At 42.0% G+C, this 18,853-nt stretch overlaps 1 protein-coding gene across 2 annotated transcripts in view, besides 1 other annotated feature; it reads left to right on the forward strand.

Moving 5' to 3' along the window:
* Positions 216–535: a silencer, noted in NCBI's record as "silent region_20719". NCBI's record gives its function as "represses an Ori minimal core promoter by ATAC-STARR-seq in GM12878 lymphoblastoid cells {active_cell/tissue: GM12878}" and the evidence as "EXISTENCE:reporter gene assay evidence [ECO:0000049][PMID:35858748]".
* PDK3 (pyruvate dehydrogenase kinase 3) overlaps positions 475–18,853 on the forward strand; it is an 85,181-nt gene continuing 66,802 nt past the window's right edge. For both annotated transcript variants that reach the window (NM_001142386.3, NM_005391.5), the window contains exon 1: positions 475–750. In NM_001142386.3, the coding sequence (NP_001135858.1) occupies positions 645–750 (106 nt within the window). In that variant the 5' untranslated portion in view covers positions 475–644. The remainder of the gene's footprint in view (positions 751–18,853) is intronic.

The following is an 18,853-nucleotide window of genomic DNA, read 5'->3' on the forward strand; positions in this document are numbered from 1 at the left end:
GGGAGTCAGGCAGGGAGGTGGGGGTGGGGCTGGGCCACGAAACAGAGTCAGTCTAGTTAGGCTGTAAAATCTAAGTGTCAGGATGCAGCGAACGGCAAGTCCTCCTCCCGGAAAAGGCGCCTGCGGTTGAGAAGGGTCTTGAGCAGCGCGGAGGATCGGATTCCGGGCTCCTGGCCTCTTCCCGGTCCGCGGGCACCTCGGCTACCTTTCGGCAGCGGAGAACCCAGCCAGAGGCGGAGCTGAAAGCGGCTGCACTTGCTGGGCTGGGCTGAGTCCCATGAGCCAGGGAGGGGGGTCTCTGGCGCCGCGCCCGGACAAAACACAAACGTCACAGAGGCAGCGGCGGCCAATCAGTGGAGGGCGCGCGCGGCCGCGTGCCCCTCGCGCTCCTCGCCTCCCCTCGCGCGCCGCGTACGTGCAGCAACCGACTCCGCCCAGCGAGGCGGAGCCTAGGGAAGCCGCGGGCGGCCCGCCGCTGTCCTGGAGCTGCTGCTGCTGCTGCGGCGGCTGCACCGGCGGCGCCGAGGCCGAGATCGAGGCCGGGGTGCGCGCTTCGCAAACGTGCCCTATCCGTGCGGCTTGGCTGCGCCAGCCCTTGCGGCCACCCGGGCGTCTAGGCGGGTCTGTGCGCCGCCCGGGCGAGGATGCGGCTGTTCCGGTGGCTGCTGAAGCAGCCGGTGCCCAAGCAGATCGAGCGCTACTCGCGCTTTTCGCCGTCGCCGCTCTCCATCAAACAATTCCTGGACTTCGGTGAGTACGGGGCCAAGGGTCCCCATGGGCCCGGGGCCGCCGCCATTCGGGCTGCCACCCCGGATCTCCGCAGCTTCGGGGTAAAGTCTGTGGGAACCGCAGGCGGGGCTAGGGAATATCCGGGGGGCTCTCCTGGGGCTCGGATTTCGGGGCGCGGAGGGGCAGGGCCTGGCCCCCTCGCACCCAGCCTGGGACTTACCCGGAGACACAGAAACGGCGTCTCATTGCAGGACCCTCATCGCAGGCGAGACTCCCCAAACCTGCGGTCGTTAGCTTCAAATCTGCTTGACACAAACCTCACAGCCCTTAAAACTTCAGAACGAGATGTGGGTGGCTTTTTAATGTTTTTATTTTTAGAATTTTTTTTTTTTGGTTGGGTAAGAACTGTTTAGAAATACCTTGAGGTTGAATAAATTATGCAATGGCATTTTGTTCCTTTTCTGCTCTAAGGTGTTGCTGTGTGGCTGGAGTGGCAGGACTCGAACTGTTGTCTTCATCAGGTTATGTTAAATCAGTTAGAGGCCTGGCCTGCAGACGCCTTAGATGCTTGGGAAGAGCGGACGTCTGGGATCCTAGCATCAGAGCAGGGTCTAATACAACTCTGGCTTTAGTGCCAGCACCTTTCGTTTCTCTTCTCCATTGGTGTCCCACCCACATTCTCCCTGTCCGGTGGGCTGGTGGGCGGCTTTCACGGATTGAGGTGGGACCAAAGAAGATTCGGGTTCCCAGCCTGCCTCAGGCCTAGCTGAGATGGGAATAGATTCCACCACCTTCTGTTAACTGAATCATGTTTCCCCAGAAAACGAAGGAGCTGGTTGTGAAACACCTAAAAGTAAAACGCATGCATTGAGGTATCAGAATGGAACTCAGCATCCCTGGAGGAAAATCAAATCCAGCAGCAAAGATGTTCTAAGCTCTCCAGGGGAAATCGTAGGGTGTCTGTTCATTTAATGAATTTTATGTAAATGTCAAGGGTGTCAGTGATAGTGTCAGTTGGGCATAAAAACTAAAGTGCAGAGTAGGTAGAACATTTGAGGAAGACCTGATATGCAAAAAGTGATGTCCATACTTTTTTTTTTTTAAAAGCTAGGATAGGAAGAGAGGAATAGGTTAAAGTTGAGACCAAATTAAAATTTTAGAAGCCAATTTGCCAGAGAATGATGATGAAAGTCAAAGTTCAATGACACGTTGATTTCTGCATCTTCAAACTTCACTCCCAAAAGCTATTGGTAGTTTTACTTACTATCTCGAGAATTGTAGAGGTTTGAGGCAGTTTCTGACTTTAGAGTTTAGAAAATGTTGCTATTGCTATAAATATAGGCAAGTTTTCCATCTTTATGGTTTAGGGAAGATTCTGAAGGTATCAGCCTTTCATTAGTGTAAACTGAAACAGGATAATTCACAATAAAAGGAACAAAAGGAATCCAGAAACTCCCAGTTCTTTCCACCCTCAAAGTTTAAGTGATAGCTCCAATAGCCAGCCAAAATTTTGGTTAGTTGATTTCCATAGCAGCTAGTGTCTACCCGTGTTAATAGGTATTTTGGTAAGGATGTTATGTGAGTAGGAAAACCACAGTGGAGGATAGTGTTATCATGGAAAACCTGTGAGGCCAGTATCTGGAAACAAATGTTCTAATTCTGGCTCTGCCACTAGCTCAGAATGTGGCCTTGACTAAGTGACCAAACCTCACTTGGGGTTCATTTTCCTCATTAATAAAATGAGTAGATTGTATCAGGCGATCTTTAAAAGCACAGCTCACCACTATACGATTGTGATTTCAAAGGAAGAGGCATGAACTTTCTAAAAGAAAACTACCAAATCTTTTGATAGATATTTCCTATAAAAGTCTTCTGACCTATTTTGGGAGGGGTGGAGGGATTCACTAAGGTCATGAGAGAAGCATAATAATTTAAGGTTTTCCTTATAAGGAAGCGCACAGAAGTGCTAGATATAGTTGTAGTGGAATTTGCTAGAAGTGACAAGGCTAGTTTGTAACACCCAGAGATGAATCAGGTGCTAATCAGCCTATCTTTAATGACAGGACAACTAAAAGACGGGAGTTGTTGCAAAAAGGCCATCTCTACTTCTACTTTTCTCTTAGTTCTGTCTCTTGATAGCAGTTCTATTTTGGCAATTGATGTGGGAGTTGGAGAATTCAGAATGGGTGTGGGATATTTTTAAGGTGAGGAGAGAGGAGGAGTGAAGAGGCTTCATGCCCCTGTATGATTAGAGAAAACTGCAGGAGAGGGCCAACTCAGGCACTTAAAGCACCAGGTAGTGGGCAGTGGATAAGTGAATGAAGCCAACGAGTTGAGGACCGTGATAAATTCCTGGTATATAGCTAGCTCCAAAGGGGCAGCTGATTGGCACCAATTCAGTATATTTCAAGAGAACTTTGGCATAAACAAAATAGATGGATGGATCAAGTTGGCCCACAGGCTGCTAGTTTATGAACTTGATGCCTTTCTCCATGGGTACTTTACAAATGGGACGTACATTTTGACTAGAGTAACTAGACAGGGACCAGAGAAAGGAGATACACAGGATATACACAATTTGTTACAACCTTGATAAATAGGCTTTCTTATGTGGATGTACTGCACATCAGTAAATAAGGAGATTATTTGCTATGTTCAAAAGTGGAGGCTAAAACTTGTTGTTACTTCAGAAGCTGTGCTTTTATTTTAAAGCAGGGGTTCCTGAGCCTCAGCACTCTTGCCATTTCAGGCCAGGTAATTTTGGTAGGAGCTGTCTTGTGCACTGTGGGAAGTTGAGCTACATCCCTGGCCTCTACCCACTAGATGCCATGAGCACCTCCCACTCCAAGTCGTGACAACCAAACATGTCTCCAGTCATTGCCAAATGTCCCCTGGGGGAGCAAAATGTCCCCTGGACTTCTGTTGAATCACTGTTTGGAAGTGTTTACTTGAGTGGTTTTCAGGCCAGGGCCTCATACTCTGAATTTTTGTTGTAAATGGTCTGGGGGTGCTGGGGGTGGAGAGCAGAGCACTGGTATTTTTAGGAGATCCCCCTGTCATTCTAAAGCATATCCAGGGTTAAGCACCATTAATCAGATGATCTTCTGTCTGATCTGCTGGCCCCCTTTCATCTATGTGCAGTATTTTTCTCTATGCTTTTTAAAATAATGAAAGTTTCTTGAACTCCATCTTGACTTGAAATATAGCCTGCCACACAGTTAGCAAATATAGCAAGAATAACAAGTGTTCTAAATGGATTTTTAATTTATTATGGCAATAGTACATTCCAAAGGGTGGCATTTTTTAAAATGAGATTTTTCTTTTGGGCCTAAGATTACAGTCACATGGTTCCAAATTCAGAGGGTTCAAAAGGACACAGAAAAGCCTGCTTCCCACTTGTGCCCACTGGCCTCCCCTTTTTTCGCATAAATGGCAGTTTATAGCTTTGTCTGTTCCTTGTTTTTTGAGCTTAATACCTTAGAGACAGATTTTTGTATATCTGTACCTGCAGAACTTTGTTTTTCTTTTTTATGGCTTCTGAGAATTTGGTTATATGAATGTACCAGAATTTATTAGCAACTTTCCCTATTGATGGCTACAATTAATAGGTTGTTTCTAGACTTTGCTGTGGCAACCTGCCCTCCAGTGAATTATTATATGCATTGTCATTTCATGCATGTCCGCGTGTATCTGTAGGACAGATTCCTAAACGTGAGATTGCTACATCAGCAGGTATGTGCATTTGTAATTTTGGCGAACATTGTCAAATTGCTTTCCATAAAGGTTGTTTGTTTTCCCCCTCGCTAGAAGTTTCTGAGAGTACCTGTTTTCCTATGCCTTCACCACATTGTTGTCAAACTTTTGATAGGTAAAAAAAAAATGATATATCTAGATAGAATTTTTTTCTCCTTGAGTAAAGATGTCTTTATTTTAGTTTTTTATTGTGGAAATTAAAAAAAAAAACTTAGGTGGGTGCCTGTAATTCCAGTGCTTTGAGAGGCCAAGACAGAGGATGGCTTGAGACCAGGAGTTTGAGGCCAGCCCTGGGCAACATAGTGAGATCCTGTCTCTAAAAAAAATAATAATAATAAATAAATAAGATTAGCCAGGAGTGGTGGTATCGCACACCTGGGGTCTTAGCTACTCAGGAGGCTGAGACAGGAGGATGGCTTGAGCCCAGATTGAAGCTGCAGTGAGCTGTGTTTCTGCCACTGCACTCCAGCCTGGGGGATGTACATGTATAGGTAAATACATATATAAATTTTATTGTGTATAATTAAGGTATACAACATGATGTTATGGGATACATATAGTTAAAAGGTTACTACAGTGAAATTAACATATCTATCATCTCACATAGTTACCCTTTTTTATTTTTGTGGCAAGGTCAGCTAAAATCTACTCATTTAGCATGAATCCCATATACAGTACAATTTTATTATCTATTATATATTCTTCATGTTGTGCATTAGATCTCTAGACCTTAAACATTTACAGAAGTAGAGAGAATAGAATGATGAACTCCTGGGTTTGTTTTATTGATATCCATTTGCTATTTGTCTGTAGATGTTGTATGTGTGGTCTGTTAGATTTTCTGATCAAAGTCATGCTTGTTTCAAAAAGATAAATTTTTGTTTTCAAAAAGATAAATTTTTTTCTTTTCCTATGCTAAGACTAATTTATCTTTTGAATTATCTGGTTCTTAAAGATTTGGTAGAACTTCATATGAAAGTGTTTAAGCCTGTATGTTTTGGGGAGTTTTGCTCTCTGATAGCTTTCTCTATTCTGTGTTATTGATCTCTGTAGATTTTCTGTCTCTTCTAGAGTCCATTTTGATATATTTTTCTTGAAAATTATCCTACTTGGCTAGGCGCGGTGGCTCATGCCTGTAATCCCAGCACTTTGGGAGGCCAAGGCAGGTGGATCACATGGGGTTGGGAGTTTGAGACCAGCCTGGCCAACATGGTGAAACCTCGTCTCTACTAAAAATACAAACATTAGCTGGGCATAGTGGTGGGTGCCTGTAATCCCAGCTACTGGGGAGGCTGAGGTAGGAGAATTGCTTGAACCCAGGAGGCGGAGGTTGCAGTGAGCCAAGATCATGCCCTTGTACTCCAGCCTGGGTGACAAGAGTGAAACGGCATCTCAAAAAAAAAAAAAAAAAAAAAAAGAAGAAAAGAAAAAAAGAAAATTATCCTACTCATTGAGGTTTTTAAGTCAGTTTGGATAGCTGAGATAGTTGTCACTGAACAGTCTTAATTTTCCCTGTGACATTTGTCCCCCCCCTTCTTCTTGAGTAGGTTAGTTGATGATTTATTGGGTTGGATTTATTAGTTTTATGACTTTTGTTATCTAGTTTATTGTCTGATTTGACTTTAATAATTCCTTCTGGTCTCAGGTTTATTTTGTTCTTTTAAAAATTAGGTGCTTTCTGTTCTCACTCATAAGTGGGAGTTGAACAATGAGAACACATGGACACGGCAAGGGGAACATCACACACCAGGGCCTGTCGGGAGGTGGGGGGGCTAGGGGAGAGATAGCATTAGGAGAAATACCTAATGTAGATGACAAGTTGATGGGTGCAGCAAACCACCATGGCACGTGTATACCTATGTAACAAACCTGCACGTTCTGCACATGTACCCCAGAACTTAAAGTATAATAAAAAAAATTAAATGCTTTCTTCTTTGTCTTGTTTATTTCAATGTTTAAGGTTAGTTATTCCTCTGAGCACTGCTTTAGCAGCTGATGTGTGTATTTGGTCTTTTTTCTCTTAGCTCTTCTGTGTCTTCAGGTTTTTATTTTCCTATGAATGAAGAGTTGTTTGGAGGAGTTAAAAATTTCCAGTGAAGGTGCATTCTGCATTTTAATTTTATTTATGTCTAGTTTTGTTGCACTGTGATTACAGAATGTTGTCTGAATTATTCTCTAATTTATTGATGTTAACTTTGAAGCTCATTATATGGTTGTTTTCTGTGAATGTTCCTTGGGCAGCGAAAAGAAGGTTATACTCTCTTCTCAGGTTGCAGAGTGTGATATGTCAGCTCTGCAATATTATGTTATTTAGGTTTTGTGTAACTTTACTTTTTTTATCCACCTGATTTGTCATGGATCAAACACAAGAGAAGTTAAAGTCTCCTAATAATGATTCTCTTTCTCCGTATAGCTCCTATTGTTTTTGCTTTATGACTATCAGTGTTATGTTTGATGCTTATTAACTCACATCCTCATTGTGAGATATACCCATTAGCATTAGAGTGCTGCCCTTTTACTAGTTGAAGGCTTTTTGGCCTGGATTCGTCCTTATTTGACATTGAGATCTAGTTCCCTATTTTCTTGTTTACATTTCCTGGGATAGCATTGCCATCCTTTTATTTTCAGTTTTTCTGAATTACTTCGCTCTAAATATGTCTCTAAATGTAGTGTAAAGTTGGGTTTTGCTTTGTGAATCAGTCTTTTTCATGTGGTAAGTTTAACCTATTTATACTTACTGGTATGATAGATCTGTCATCTGTAATGATAAGCATTTGTAATTTTCTGTTGCTTTCTGTTTTTAATACCTCAGTTTTCCTATGTTATATATTTGCTTTGTTTTGCCATATTTATTTTAATAAATAACTAGGCTTGAATTTTTGGTTCTAGTGGTTATCTTTATAGTTATTACTTTATTTCTATAGACCTTTGTCCCATATGGGTCACCACTTGTCAGCCAGGAGACCTTTGAGCACTTGAAATGTGGCTAGTGTGGCCGAAAAACTGAATTGACTTAATTTAAATTTAAAATGGATACTTGATGCAGTTAATTTTTACATCTGTGTAGAATAACTTGGATATGGAATCCACTTTATCACCTGTAAATTTTAGGAAATCTCTTTATAGGTCAATTATTTCTGATAGAAATTTAGCCTCTGAATTGAGATGTGCTTTCAGTATAAAATACACACTGGATTTCAAAGACTTAATATAAAAATAGTAAAATATCAGTACATCTTATATTGATTGCATGTTGAAATGGTAATATTTTAGATATGTTGGGTTAAATGGAATATTATCAAAAACTTTATTTCTTTTTTATGTTAATGTGGCTACTAGGAAATTTTAAATTATATATATGGCTTACATATTTCTTTCTTTCTTTTTTTTTTTTTTTTTTTTTTTTTTGTGAGACGGAGTTTTTGCTCATGTTGCCCAGGCTGGAGTGCAATGGTGCGATCTGGGCTCACCGCAACCTCCGCCTCCCAGGTTCAAGTGATTCTCCTGCCTCAGCCTCCCAAGTAGCTGGGATTACAGGCATGCGCCTACATGCCCAGCTAATTTTGTATTTTTAGTAGAGATGGGGTTTCTCCATGTTGGTCAGGCTGGTCTTGAACTCTCGACCTCAGGTGATCTGCCCACCTCAGCCTCCCAAAGTGCTAGGATTACAGGCATGAGCCACAGCCCCTGGCCTGGCTCACATATTTATATTGGACAGTGTGGCTTCAGATAATATATGTTAATTCCTTATTGGGAGCAATGAAAACATCACATTTTAATGTTCAGAATAAACATTTATTGGCTGGGTGCAGTGGCTCACGCCTGTAATCCCAGCACTTTGGGAGGCCGAGGTGGGTGGATCACGAGGTCAAGAGATTGAGACCATCCTGGCCAACGTGGTGAAACCCCGTCTCTACTAAAAATACAAAAATTAGCCAGGCATGGTGGTGGGCGCCTATAGTCCCAGGTACTCGGGAGGCTGAGGCAGGAGAATTACTTGAACCTGGGAGGTGGAGGTTGCAGTGGGCCAAGATTGCGCCACTGCACTCCAGCCTGGCTAGAGTGAGACTCCGTCTCAAAAAACAAAACAAACAAACAAACAAAAACAAAAAAACCAACCACACATTTGTTGAATTTATTTATTTATTTATTTACTTATTTGAGACAGAGTCTCACTCTGTCACCTAGGCCAGAGTGCAACGGCTTGGTCTTGGCTCACTGCAACCTCTGCCTCCCGGGTTCAGGTGATTCTCCTGCCTCAGCCTCCCGAGTAGCTGGGATTACAGGTGTCTGCCACCACGCCTGGCTTATTTTTGTATTTTTAGTAGAGACGGGGTTTTGCCCTATTGCCCAGGCTGGTCTCGAACTCCTGACCTTAGGTGATCTACCCGCCTCTGCCTCCCAAAGTGCTGGGATTACAGGCATGAGTCACCGTGCCTGGCCTGAATTTATTTCCTGAAATATAACTTTCACATGTCTTGTTCCATATTTTTTTCTATAAACCTCTCTGGATTTTTGGATCAATGTATTGTTTTTGACTGGCAGTTAATGTTATGGTGGCTCCTTGTTATATTTGCACAAATTTGAGTTCTCTTTCCCTTAAGCAGTTGTGATAAATTAAAAATTCTCTTAATTATATAAGAAAAGGAGAACTTGGACTATTATGGCATAAAGATAGAACCTTCTGAATGTTGAATGAGTTGGTAGGAAATGATTCACATTTTCTTTTGGACTTGCTTTTCATCTTTCAGTCTCGCCCTGTCGGCTTCTGGTTCCCATATTAACCACTTTTCTCCCCTCCCTGCAGACTGACGTCCCATTTGTTTGATTTTCCAGTTACTTTTGCACAGCCACACTTGCATTAAAGAGATTTTGCTCCTGCCTCCTTTTCTTAGATTTTATCCTCAATTGTCTCTTTCCAAAGGGCAGGCGCTCACCTCTTTTTTGTAACCTCTTACAGCTTCCTCAGCTCAGCTTGCTCTGCACAGAGCAGGTGCTCCATAAATGGCAATTACTGATGGCATGCCTGACTCCATATCGAGGTTATTAAACATTATGCCACTTTCATTTAGTCAGTTATATAAGTTTATTTTATTTATTTATTTATTTATTTATTTATTTATTTATTTATTTATTTTGAGACGGAGTCTCACTCTGTCGCCCAGGCTAGAGTGCAGTGGCACCATCTCGGCTCACTGCAACCTCCGCCTCCCAGGTTCAAGCAGTTCTCGTGCCTCAGCCTCCCGAGTACCTGGGACTACAGGCATGCGCCACCACGCCCGGCTAATTTTTGTATTTTTAGCAGAGACGGGGTTTCACCGTCTTGGCCAGGCTGGTCTCGAACTCCTGACTTCAGGTGATCCACCCGCCTCTGCCTCCCAAAGTGTTGGGATTACAGACGTGAGCCACTGTGCCCAGCCAAGTTTAAACTTCCATAGTGTCCCCATGTGTAAATATAGCATCTCTCAAAACCACCAGAAAGCAGATTGCTGATAGCCCTGCCGTCTTTTCACAAAACTAAATATTTTGATTTCTGTCATAATCACACCGGCTCTGTGAACCTCAGAGCCTTTAGCTCTTAGAAGGTAGCGGCCAGTTTCCGCATTCTTACTATTCTTAAAGTTTAAGGGCCCAGCCATCTTCTTTTCCTTTAGAACATATTTTAAGATACTTTGGAGATACTTTGGTTCCAAATGACTCCCTTTCGCAAAGTCTTGGCTTTTTAAGTCATTTTGCTCCTTGAAGCCTGATCACCACTGGGGACAACAGTGATTGCGTTCTTGGAGAAAATGGAAAGGTTTTTAAAAAAATTATGTTAGGAAAAGGGAAAAACAATCTCATTCTGCTTCCGAGTGTGTTTATTTTGTACCTTTACATATGTAAATGACAGATTTTTTTTTTTTTTCCCTGTAAGCAGTAGTTTTTCTGCTACAAGGTGTCACCAAGAATTAGACCAACCTGTTTGGAGAAAGGGATCAACTATTCAGAATTAAAGGGGAAGAGAAAAATTTAGTTGAGGGTAAAGATATCTAACTTGGCTTATTGCATCTTGACCAGTTTTTAAATTTAAAGAAAGAATTGGTCCAGGCACTGTGGCTAATGCCTGTAATCCCAGCATTTTGAGAGGCTGAGGCAGGAGGATCGCTTGAGTCCAGGAGTTTGAGACCAGCTCGGGCAACACAGTGAGACCCCTGTCTCTACAAAAAAATAAAAAAATTATCCAGGCATAGTGGTGCACCCCTGTGGTCCCGGCTACATGGGAAGCTGAGATGGGAGGATCGCTTGAGCCTGGGAAGTTGAGGCTGCAGTGAGCTGGGATCGCGTCACTGCACTCCAGCCTGGACAATAGAGCAAGACCATGTCTCAAAAAAAGAAGGAGGGAGGGAAGTAGAAAGGGAAGGAAAGAAGGGAGGAAAGGTAGAAGACGGAAGGAGGAAAGGAAGGAAAGAAGGGAGGAAGTGAGGGCTTTTTGGGCCTTTAAGATCTGATAAGGCTGCATTTTAACATGGCGTGGTTTATCTGGCTCTGGGGCAGCTCTCAGGCACCAAAGTCATGGCTTTGGCCTCACTGTCTTTGTAGCACTTATGTTTTGTGTGCTTTTGAAAGTGGAGACAGCTGCAGTTACTGATCTATTGATGGTTGGGTGGTTTCCTCCCATTAAGCTTTTGGAAAATTGATCAGACTGTTGGCAAGGTTTGGGAAACCTTGGTTTTGTTACTGGATGGAATCTGAAAATATCACTGCTTTTTCTTTTCCTGTATATGTATAGGCATTCCATTATTTTACTTCCATGGTAATCTGATTTTAGAGTTGGGCAAATCCTTTTATTTTAGGAATACCCTGGTCTAAGAATGTCAACCTATAGCCTGAGGGCTGGCCACCTGTTTTTTTTTTTCTAATTAATAGACTGTTTTTTAAAAAGAGTACAGTTCGTCCTCCATATCTGTGGGTTCCACATCCATGGATTCAATCAACCTCAGATAGAAAATATTCAGAAAAAAAATTCCACAAATTTCCAAAAAGCAAAATTTGAATTTGCCTCACCTTGAACACTATGTTGAATCCATGTAAATGAAATGATGTGTAGGCCTTGTAACTAGTCTAGAGATAATTTAAAGTATATGGAAGGATGTGCATAGGTCATATGCAAATACTCTAGGCCATTTTATGTAAGAGACTCGAGTATCCATGGATTTTGATATCCAAGGGTGTCCAGGAACCAATCCCCCACAGATACTGAGAGGCAGTTTTAGGTTTACAGCAAAATTGAGCGGAAGTACAGAGTGCCCACAGAACCCCTCCCCACCCCCAAACACAGTCTCTGCCGCCATCAGTATCCTGCACCAGTGTGGGACATTTGTTATAATTGATGAACCAGCATTGACCCATCATTATCACCTAAAGTCCATAGTTTACATTAGGGCTCATTCTTTGTGTTGCACACTGCGGGTTTTGACAACTCCTGTTTTTGTAAATAAAGTTTTACTGGAACACAGCCATGCTCATTCATCACATATTGTTTGTGGCTTTTGTCCATCCACAACAGCAGAAATTGAGTATTGACAGAGACTATATGGCCCACAAAGCCAAAAATGTTTACTATCTGGTCCCGTACAGAAAGTTTCTTGTTCCCTGTTCTAAGACAAATCAGTTCCCTCTTTAAAGAACTGAGCAGTGATTGGTCTTAATTTCCATTTAAGTGGTAAAGCTCTGTTTCTCCTGTATGCTAGTAACAATAAACTTTGACTATCTGGAGTGTGACTTTTGGGGTAGTGAAGGCTTTTCCAGGTAATCGGGTGGTTTACCTATAGGATATCTGCCTCAGAGTGGAATTACCATATGAAAGCTGTTGACAGTTTATAGGTTTAATTTATCCAGGGCTGTCAGCAAAGTTTATCTGTATCAGTTTCTCCGTAGCCCTGCCAAAATGAGGTTTTATGATTTTAATCGCATCATAGGTAACATAGGAATGAAAAGTGCTTTTTCCTCTGCTTGGGTTTTTTGTCTGCTTTTTGTTCTGTGTAAAGTGCCATTGGCCATTTTGTAACCAGAATCTGAAGTTTTTATCATTTGCATAAATTCCTGTGTATATTTGGCATAGTAAGCTCTTGTGCTGTGTAAATATCGTTTCCTTTGGCAAAGTAATTATCAAAGTATAAAACTGAAGACATTTGGAAAGAATTGCTATATTACCTGTAATATGGGTAATTCATCTGTTTTTTTGTGATAGCCCTTCCTGCTTTTGCCCATATATTTACATGTGTTAACACTGTATGTTGGTTTCCTTTTTATCTAGTGCACAGTCTGAGTTTTCATATGCTCAGTGTTACCTATATCATTTACGGTGCTTTTATCATGGTCAGATTTGTCACCTATAGCAGAGTTTGTAAGTAGTTATTAAATCTCTCTGGAATCTATTGCCATTTTCTGATGAGCCTTTGTAGCTAACTCATTTTTACCCTGTTCTGCTGTCAAGTTGCCCAACAATTATTAAGACCTCAAGTTTTTCTCTTGAAACTTGGCTGTTTCTCTTTTATCTTGGCCGTTTCTCTTTGATCATATGCTAAGCTCTCAGAGTAGTTTGTATTTGTGGATTCTAGTCAACATGGCAACTTTTCTGATTTTAACTAAATATCACATTTTAACTTTGTAATTTATGTTGAAATTTGGTGAGGGCAGTTCCTTATTTATTACTTTACATTTTAAATAATTCTTGCTTTTCTTGTGTACTAATTCTTCTTGATAAATTAGTCATTGTGCACCTTGAATAGCATATCATCAAAAGTGTGCTAAGGGAACTGTGGATGGGTTACGTGGTGTTTTAGGGTTTACATCTTTGCCATGTACTTGGCATTGAAACTGGCATTGAGGCCGGGCATGGTGGCTCATGCCTGTAATCTCAGCACTTTGGGAGGACAAGGTGGGTGAATCACTTGAGGTCAGGAGTTCGAGACCAGCCTGGCCAACATGGTGAAACCCCATATCTACTAAAAAAAAATACAATACAATACAAAAAATCAGCTGGGAGTGGTGGCTCATATCTGTAGTCCCAGCTACTCAGGAGGCTGAGGCAGGAGAATCGTTTGAACCTGGGAGGTGGAGGTTGCAGTGAGCCGAGATCGTGCCACTGCACTCCAGCCTGGGTGATAGAATGAGACTCTGTCACAAACAAACAAACAAAGGAAAAACTAGCACTGAAGTATCTTCAGTTAGCCTATTTCGCTTTTATGGCAGGAAGGCTAGTTTACGCTATACTTGCCTTCGTGGGAGAGCTGGGTTTGATTGTGACCCATGGTGGATGTCCTTCATATCCCTCAAGGAGAACCCCATTCCTGGTCATTGCCTCATCTTAACTCTGAGATTAAACCTTTTGCCATAATGAATGGCAGAAAAATTGTAGTAAACTATTACATTTGCACAGGTCAGCATTTATATTCGCTCTAATTGAATACTTAGGGTTCTAACTCAGTGGTATGTTATTTCCCTAAGGGTCACCTAAACAGTTGTGATTTTATTTTCATTCTTGGACTTGATCTATGATTCTCCTTAACCATTTGAGTTGTACCAGTGTTGCTTTCTCTCTTACCAGGGCATGGAGGTCAGTATATAATAGTCTCACTGTTGGGAAGAAATTATCATCTCTCTAACATTTTCCCATACCATGAAGTTAAATATTTTGCCATGTGTTGCTGGCCAGAAAACAGTAGGGCCTTTTGAAATTTGTAACTTACATATATTTTCCCACAATTGTTACATTTTCATAGACCAGAGAACACTCAGGCTTCTATCTGAACCTTTTCTTGGATCTGTCCTAGTAGGGTATAATGTTTCCTTAAGCTTGCTAGCAGATATTTCTTAATACCAGCCTGTGGATTTTGTATAACTTTGGTTAATTTCTCCTCCTGATTCTGCTGTTAAATAGAAAGCAAAGTGGTTATTGCTGTATTACTGTTCCTGCATTGGTCATGTGATGTGCTCATGTGAGCACTTTATTTGTAATAGACTCTTCTGGGAGGAAGCTGCTTGTCTCAGGGAGTCTCCTGTTCTCTAGAAATTGCCCTTCATGGCCAGGGTACTGCTTCTTTTGTTAGAGCTCCTTACATATTCTCTACCGTGTTATCTCTGGCCTACATACTCCTATTCCTGTTTCTTTGACCTGAGCTTGACTTCAGTGAAGCTATTGGAGAAGGAAATTAAAATGGACTCTTGGCTGGGCACAGTGACTCACACCTATAATCCCAACACTTTGGGAGGCCGAGGCAGGCAGATCACCTGAGATCAGCAGTTTGAGACCAGTCTGGCAAACATGGTGAAACCCCATCTCTAATAAAATACAAAAAAAAATTAGCCAGGCGGTGGCACGTGCCTGTAATCCCAGCAACTTAGGAGGCTGAGGCAGGAGAATCGCTTGAACCAGGGAGGCAGAGGTTGCAGTGAACCGAGGTCGCGCCACTGCACTCCAGCTTGGGCGATGGAGTGAGACTCCGTCTCAAAAAAAACAAACAAAAAAAAAAGGACTTTATATGGCACCTGAAAAAGATTCAATAGATTCGACTAGCACTTACTGAGTACTTACCAACTAAAACAGGATATCATCTAATTCTCACAACAGCCATGCCCATTTTACCAATTAGGAAACTGAAGTTCTGAGCGGGTAAGAAGATGACTCACACGTATAATAGGTAGTAGAGCCACATGTCTGCCCGCCTGATCGTCTTACCACCTCTTTATAGCAGAGAAAGTAGGTGAGGGATTGGGCGCAGTGTGTGAGCAAAACAAACTGGAGGAAAGGACCATCGAGTGCATTGTCACCGCCTCCCAAGCATTACCACATCCTGAAGCACAGCCGTTTCCTTCTCGAGTTTGTTTAGTTTTTATCTTCCCCATTTAAGATCATCTGAAAGTGAAAGGGAAAAAAAGAGCTGACACTGAAAAGTCTCTTACAGAGTACAAAGATGTTTGTGATCAGTTTCCCAAGAGGCTGAAATAAAACTCAAAGGTGAAAATAAAGACAACAGTACATGGGTAAATAAAAAATTGGGGATGCTTAATAGCCATTGTCTGGGCTTGAGGAGTTCTTTGATTTGTTTACCCTCATTGAATTTTCTATGATTAGATGCTAGTCCATGGTTCTCAGTCCTGGCTGCTCATGAGAATTGTCTGGGGAGCGCCTGAAATGAGTGACACCTGCTCCCTACATAAACCAATTAAATCAATTGCTGCGGGTAGGAGTCTAGGTGCTGGTGCTTTTGGGTTACCCAGGCGATTGTGTAATAATATTCTTCCAGAGTTAAAACCACAGTGTTAGAGCTGGTGAAATTTTTGCCCAAGAGCTATGAACCACTTTAGGGGATAGAGTCTGTGAGTGAGATGCCAAAGGTTAACACCGAAGTCATTCTGGAGTCCATCAGCATTAGTTGAAAGTTCTGGATTTGGAATGAAATGGAAACTAAGAAGCATTGGGAAATTGCCAAGGCATATTCATTGCCTTTGAGGAGCTCATAGATAAATGAGAAGCTGGGACAAATACATAAATTTACGTATGCTAGTCAGAAGGATGAATCATATAATTTTGTGGTATCTTTTTGCTGCTGTCCCTACCTCGCCCTTAAAGGTTTTTGAAATAAGGGTGGTTTCTGGGAACAGGTAAGGTGTTAACCCAATTGTCCTTTATCCAAAATGTTGTTGGAGGCTTTCTGGATGGAGATCACAAAGAGAAGAACAAAATGTAAATGTGCATACTCTTTTTCTTTTTCTTTTTTTTTTTTTTGACAAAGTCTTGCTCTGTCGCCCAGGCTGGAGTGGAGTGGCGCGATCTTGGCTCACTGCAAGCTCCGCCTTCCGGGTTCACGCCATTCTCCTGCCTCAGCCTCCCCAGTAGCTGGGACTGCAGGCGCCCGCCACTGCACGCGGCTAATTTTTTGTATTTTTAGTAGAGACAGGGTTTCACCGTGGTCTCGATCTCCTGACCTCGTGATCTGCCCGCCTCGGCCTCCCAAAGTGCTGGGATTACAGGCGTGAGCCACCGCGCCTGGCCCCTTTTTCTTGACTTCCACCTTTTTTCCTTGGCTGTTTACTCCTAGCACTGCTCTCCAGAGTTTTCTTAGAATTTATATTAGTAGGCAAGGTTAGTGTATGATAAATAACTGTATAGAGAGACAAACAAAAATCTTATCCTCTTAGACTAATTCAGTGGGAACTTGAGCTTAGAGACTGATGTGGTTTGGCTCTGTGTCTCCACCCAAATCTCATGTTGAGTTATGATTTTCAGTGTTGGTGGTGGGGCCTGGTGGGAGGTGATTGGATCATGGGGGCAGATTTCCCCCTTGCTGTTCTCATGATAGCGAGTGAGTTCTCATGAGATCTGGTTGTTTAAAAGTGTGTAGCACTTCTCCCTTTGCTCTCTCTCTCTCCTGCCACCATGTGAAGATGTGCTTGCTTCCCCTTCGCCTCTGCCATGATTGTAAGTTTCCTGAGGCCTCCCTATCCATGTGGACTGTGAGTCAATTAAACCTCTTTCCTTCATAAGTTACTCAGTCTCAGGTAGTTCTTTCTAGCCACATGAGAACAAACTAATACAGAGATCATCTGTAATCTTCCCAATTTTACACATGAGAAAGTAGAAGCCCCAAGTAAGGAAGAGACTATGCCAGTCATCAGCTAGTTTTTGGTATAACATCTTGGCCACCTCTTCCAAAGGGAACCAGAAATTATTCTTTTTATGAGGCCAAGGGAACTTACATTTGTGTGCCACTCTCTGCTAAACACAATAGTGGTTAGCTGTAATTCTCACAGCGTCCACATTAAGTGTTTCCATTTCTTGGATGAAGAGTCTAAAGCTTAGATAGTTTAAGTCTCTTACCTAAGCAAAGTTAGGGGCAAAGCCATGGTTAAAATTCAGGTAGAGTGAGGTTTGTTTGTTTGTTTATTTTTTGGAGACAGAGTGTTCCTCTGTCGTCCAGGCTGGAGTGCGTGGTGTGATCTTGGCTCACTGCAACCTCCACCTCCAGGTTCAAGTGATTCTCCTGCCTTAGCCTCCCAAGTATCTGGGATAACAGGCACCCATCACCACGCCTGGCTAATTTTTTGTATTTTTAGTAGAAATGGGGTTTCACCATGTTGTCCAAGCTGGTCTCGAACTCCTGACCTCAAGTAATCTGCCCGCCTTGGCCTCTCAAAGTGCTGGGATTACAAGCAAGATTGAGCTTTTAAACCTACGCTCTTTTCAGTTTAACATAGTATACCATTGTCCCCAGTGCAATTCTTTATAGCAAATATAGTCTCTATTAGCAATGCTGAGGTTTTGTCTAAATTTATTCTGTTACACAATCAGGAAATGGTATAATCTAATGCTTATCTAGTTTTATTATTTCAGAACTATCAGATTGATACCTACTCCACTTACTTACAATGAAATAATTCTACTTCTGAAAACCACTACTTGTTAGTCTGCATTATCATCTCTGGGAATATGAGAAGCAGTATATACAGACTTGTACTCCAGTCTTAATTTCTGATGCCTACCAGCAGTGTGAGCCTGGGCAAATCACTTAATCCCACTACACTTCAGTGTCCTTATCTACAAAATAGAAATGCTAGTGGCTAATCATAGGATGGTTGCATTGATGAGATTGAGAACGTATGGCATAGTGCATAACACATGGTAGGTGCTTGGTAGATGTTGGTTATGAATTTACTATGAGAAGTTAGTGACACAGCATTTCCTTGATGAAGTCAGCTTTCTGCTAAGAATAAAAGCTGGGTAGGGAGCTCTTAACCTTGAATGTTAATTATCTTCAAGTTTATTGGCTGAAGGTCTCAGCTGTACAAAACTGATCATTTTCCAAGAAACATAGCACTTTCAGCTCTTTTGTGCTTTGAGAGTGACTTGCTTTGGATTCCCTTTGATCACTGTGATGGCTAACTAAATGATTTGCCTCAGTTAACCTCAAATATGAGTACAGTGTGACCATTAGCTATTCCTGCTTCCATGACAACAGGGCATCCTGTAACTCACCAATTTACCGTTAGGACTAGATTCTAAACTCCCTTCTGGAATTAGGTTGATATGGATGCATGGCGGCTTTGGCTGCATAGTGCTTGTTACTCACATGCTCTAGCTCGTCACAGCTTTATTTGTGACATCTGTTCTGAACACATCATGTCTCTTCCACTCTCTGGCCTGACACACCATATTGACTGTTACTGCCACTGTATTGTCTTCCTACCTGCCTTTTGGCTCTTCTCATGATTTTAAGGATTGAATACCCTTAAACAAATATATAGAATGAAGTTGGCCTGTAAGAGGGATTTACCGTTACCTGCAAATGTTATCTTGAACCTCTGAATTTTATTTGCTATGTTAAGTTTG

Source organism: Homo sapiens, chromosome X (genome assembly GCF_000001405.40).
Source record: "Homo sapiens chromosome X, GRCh38.p14 Primary Assembly".
NCBI classification, from domain to species: domain Eukaryota; kingdom Metazoa; phylum Chordata; class Mammalia; order Primates; family Hominidae; genus Homo; species Homo sapiens.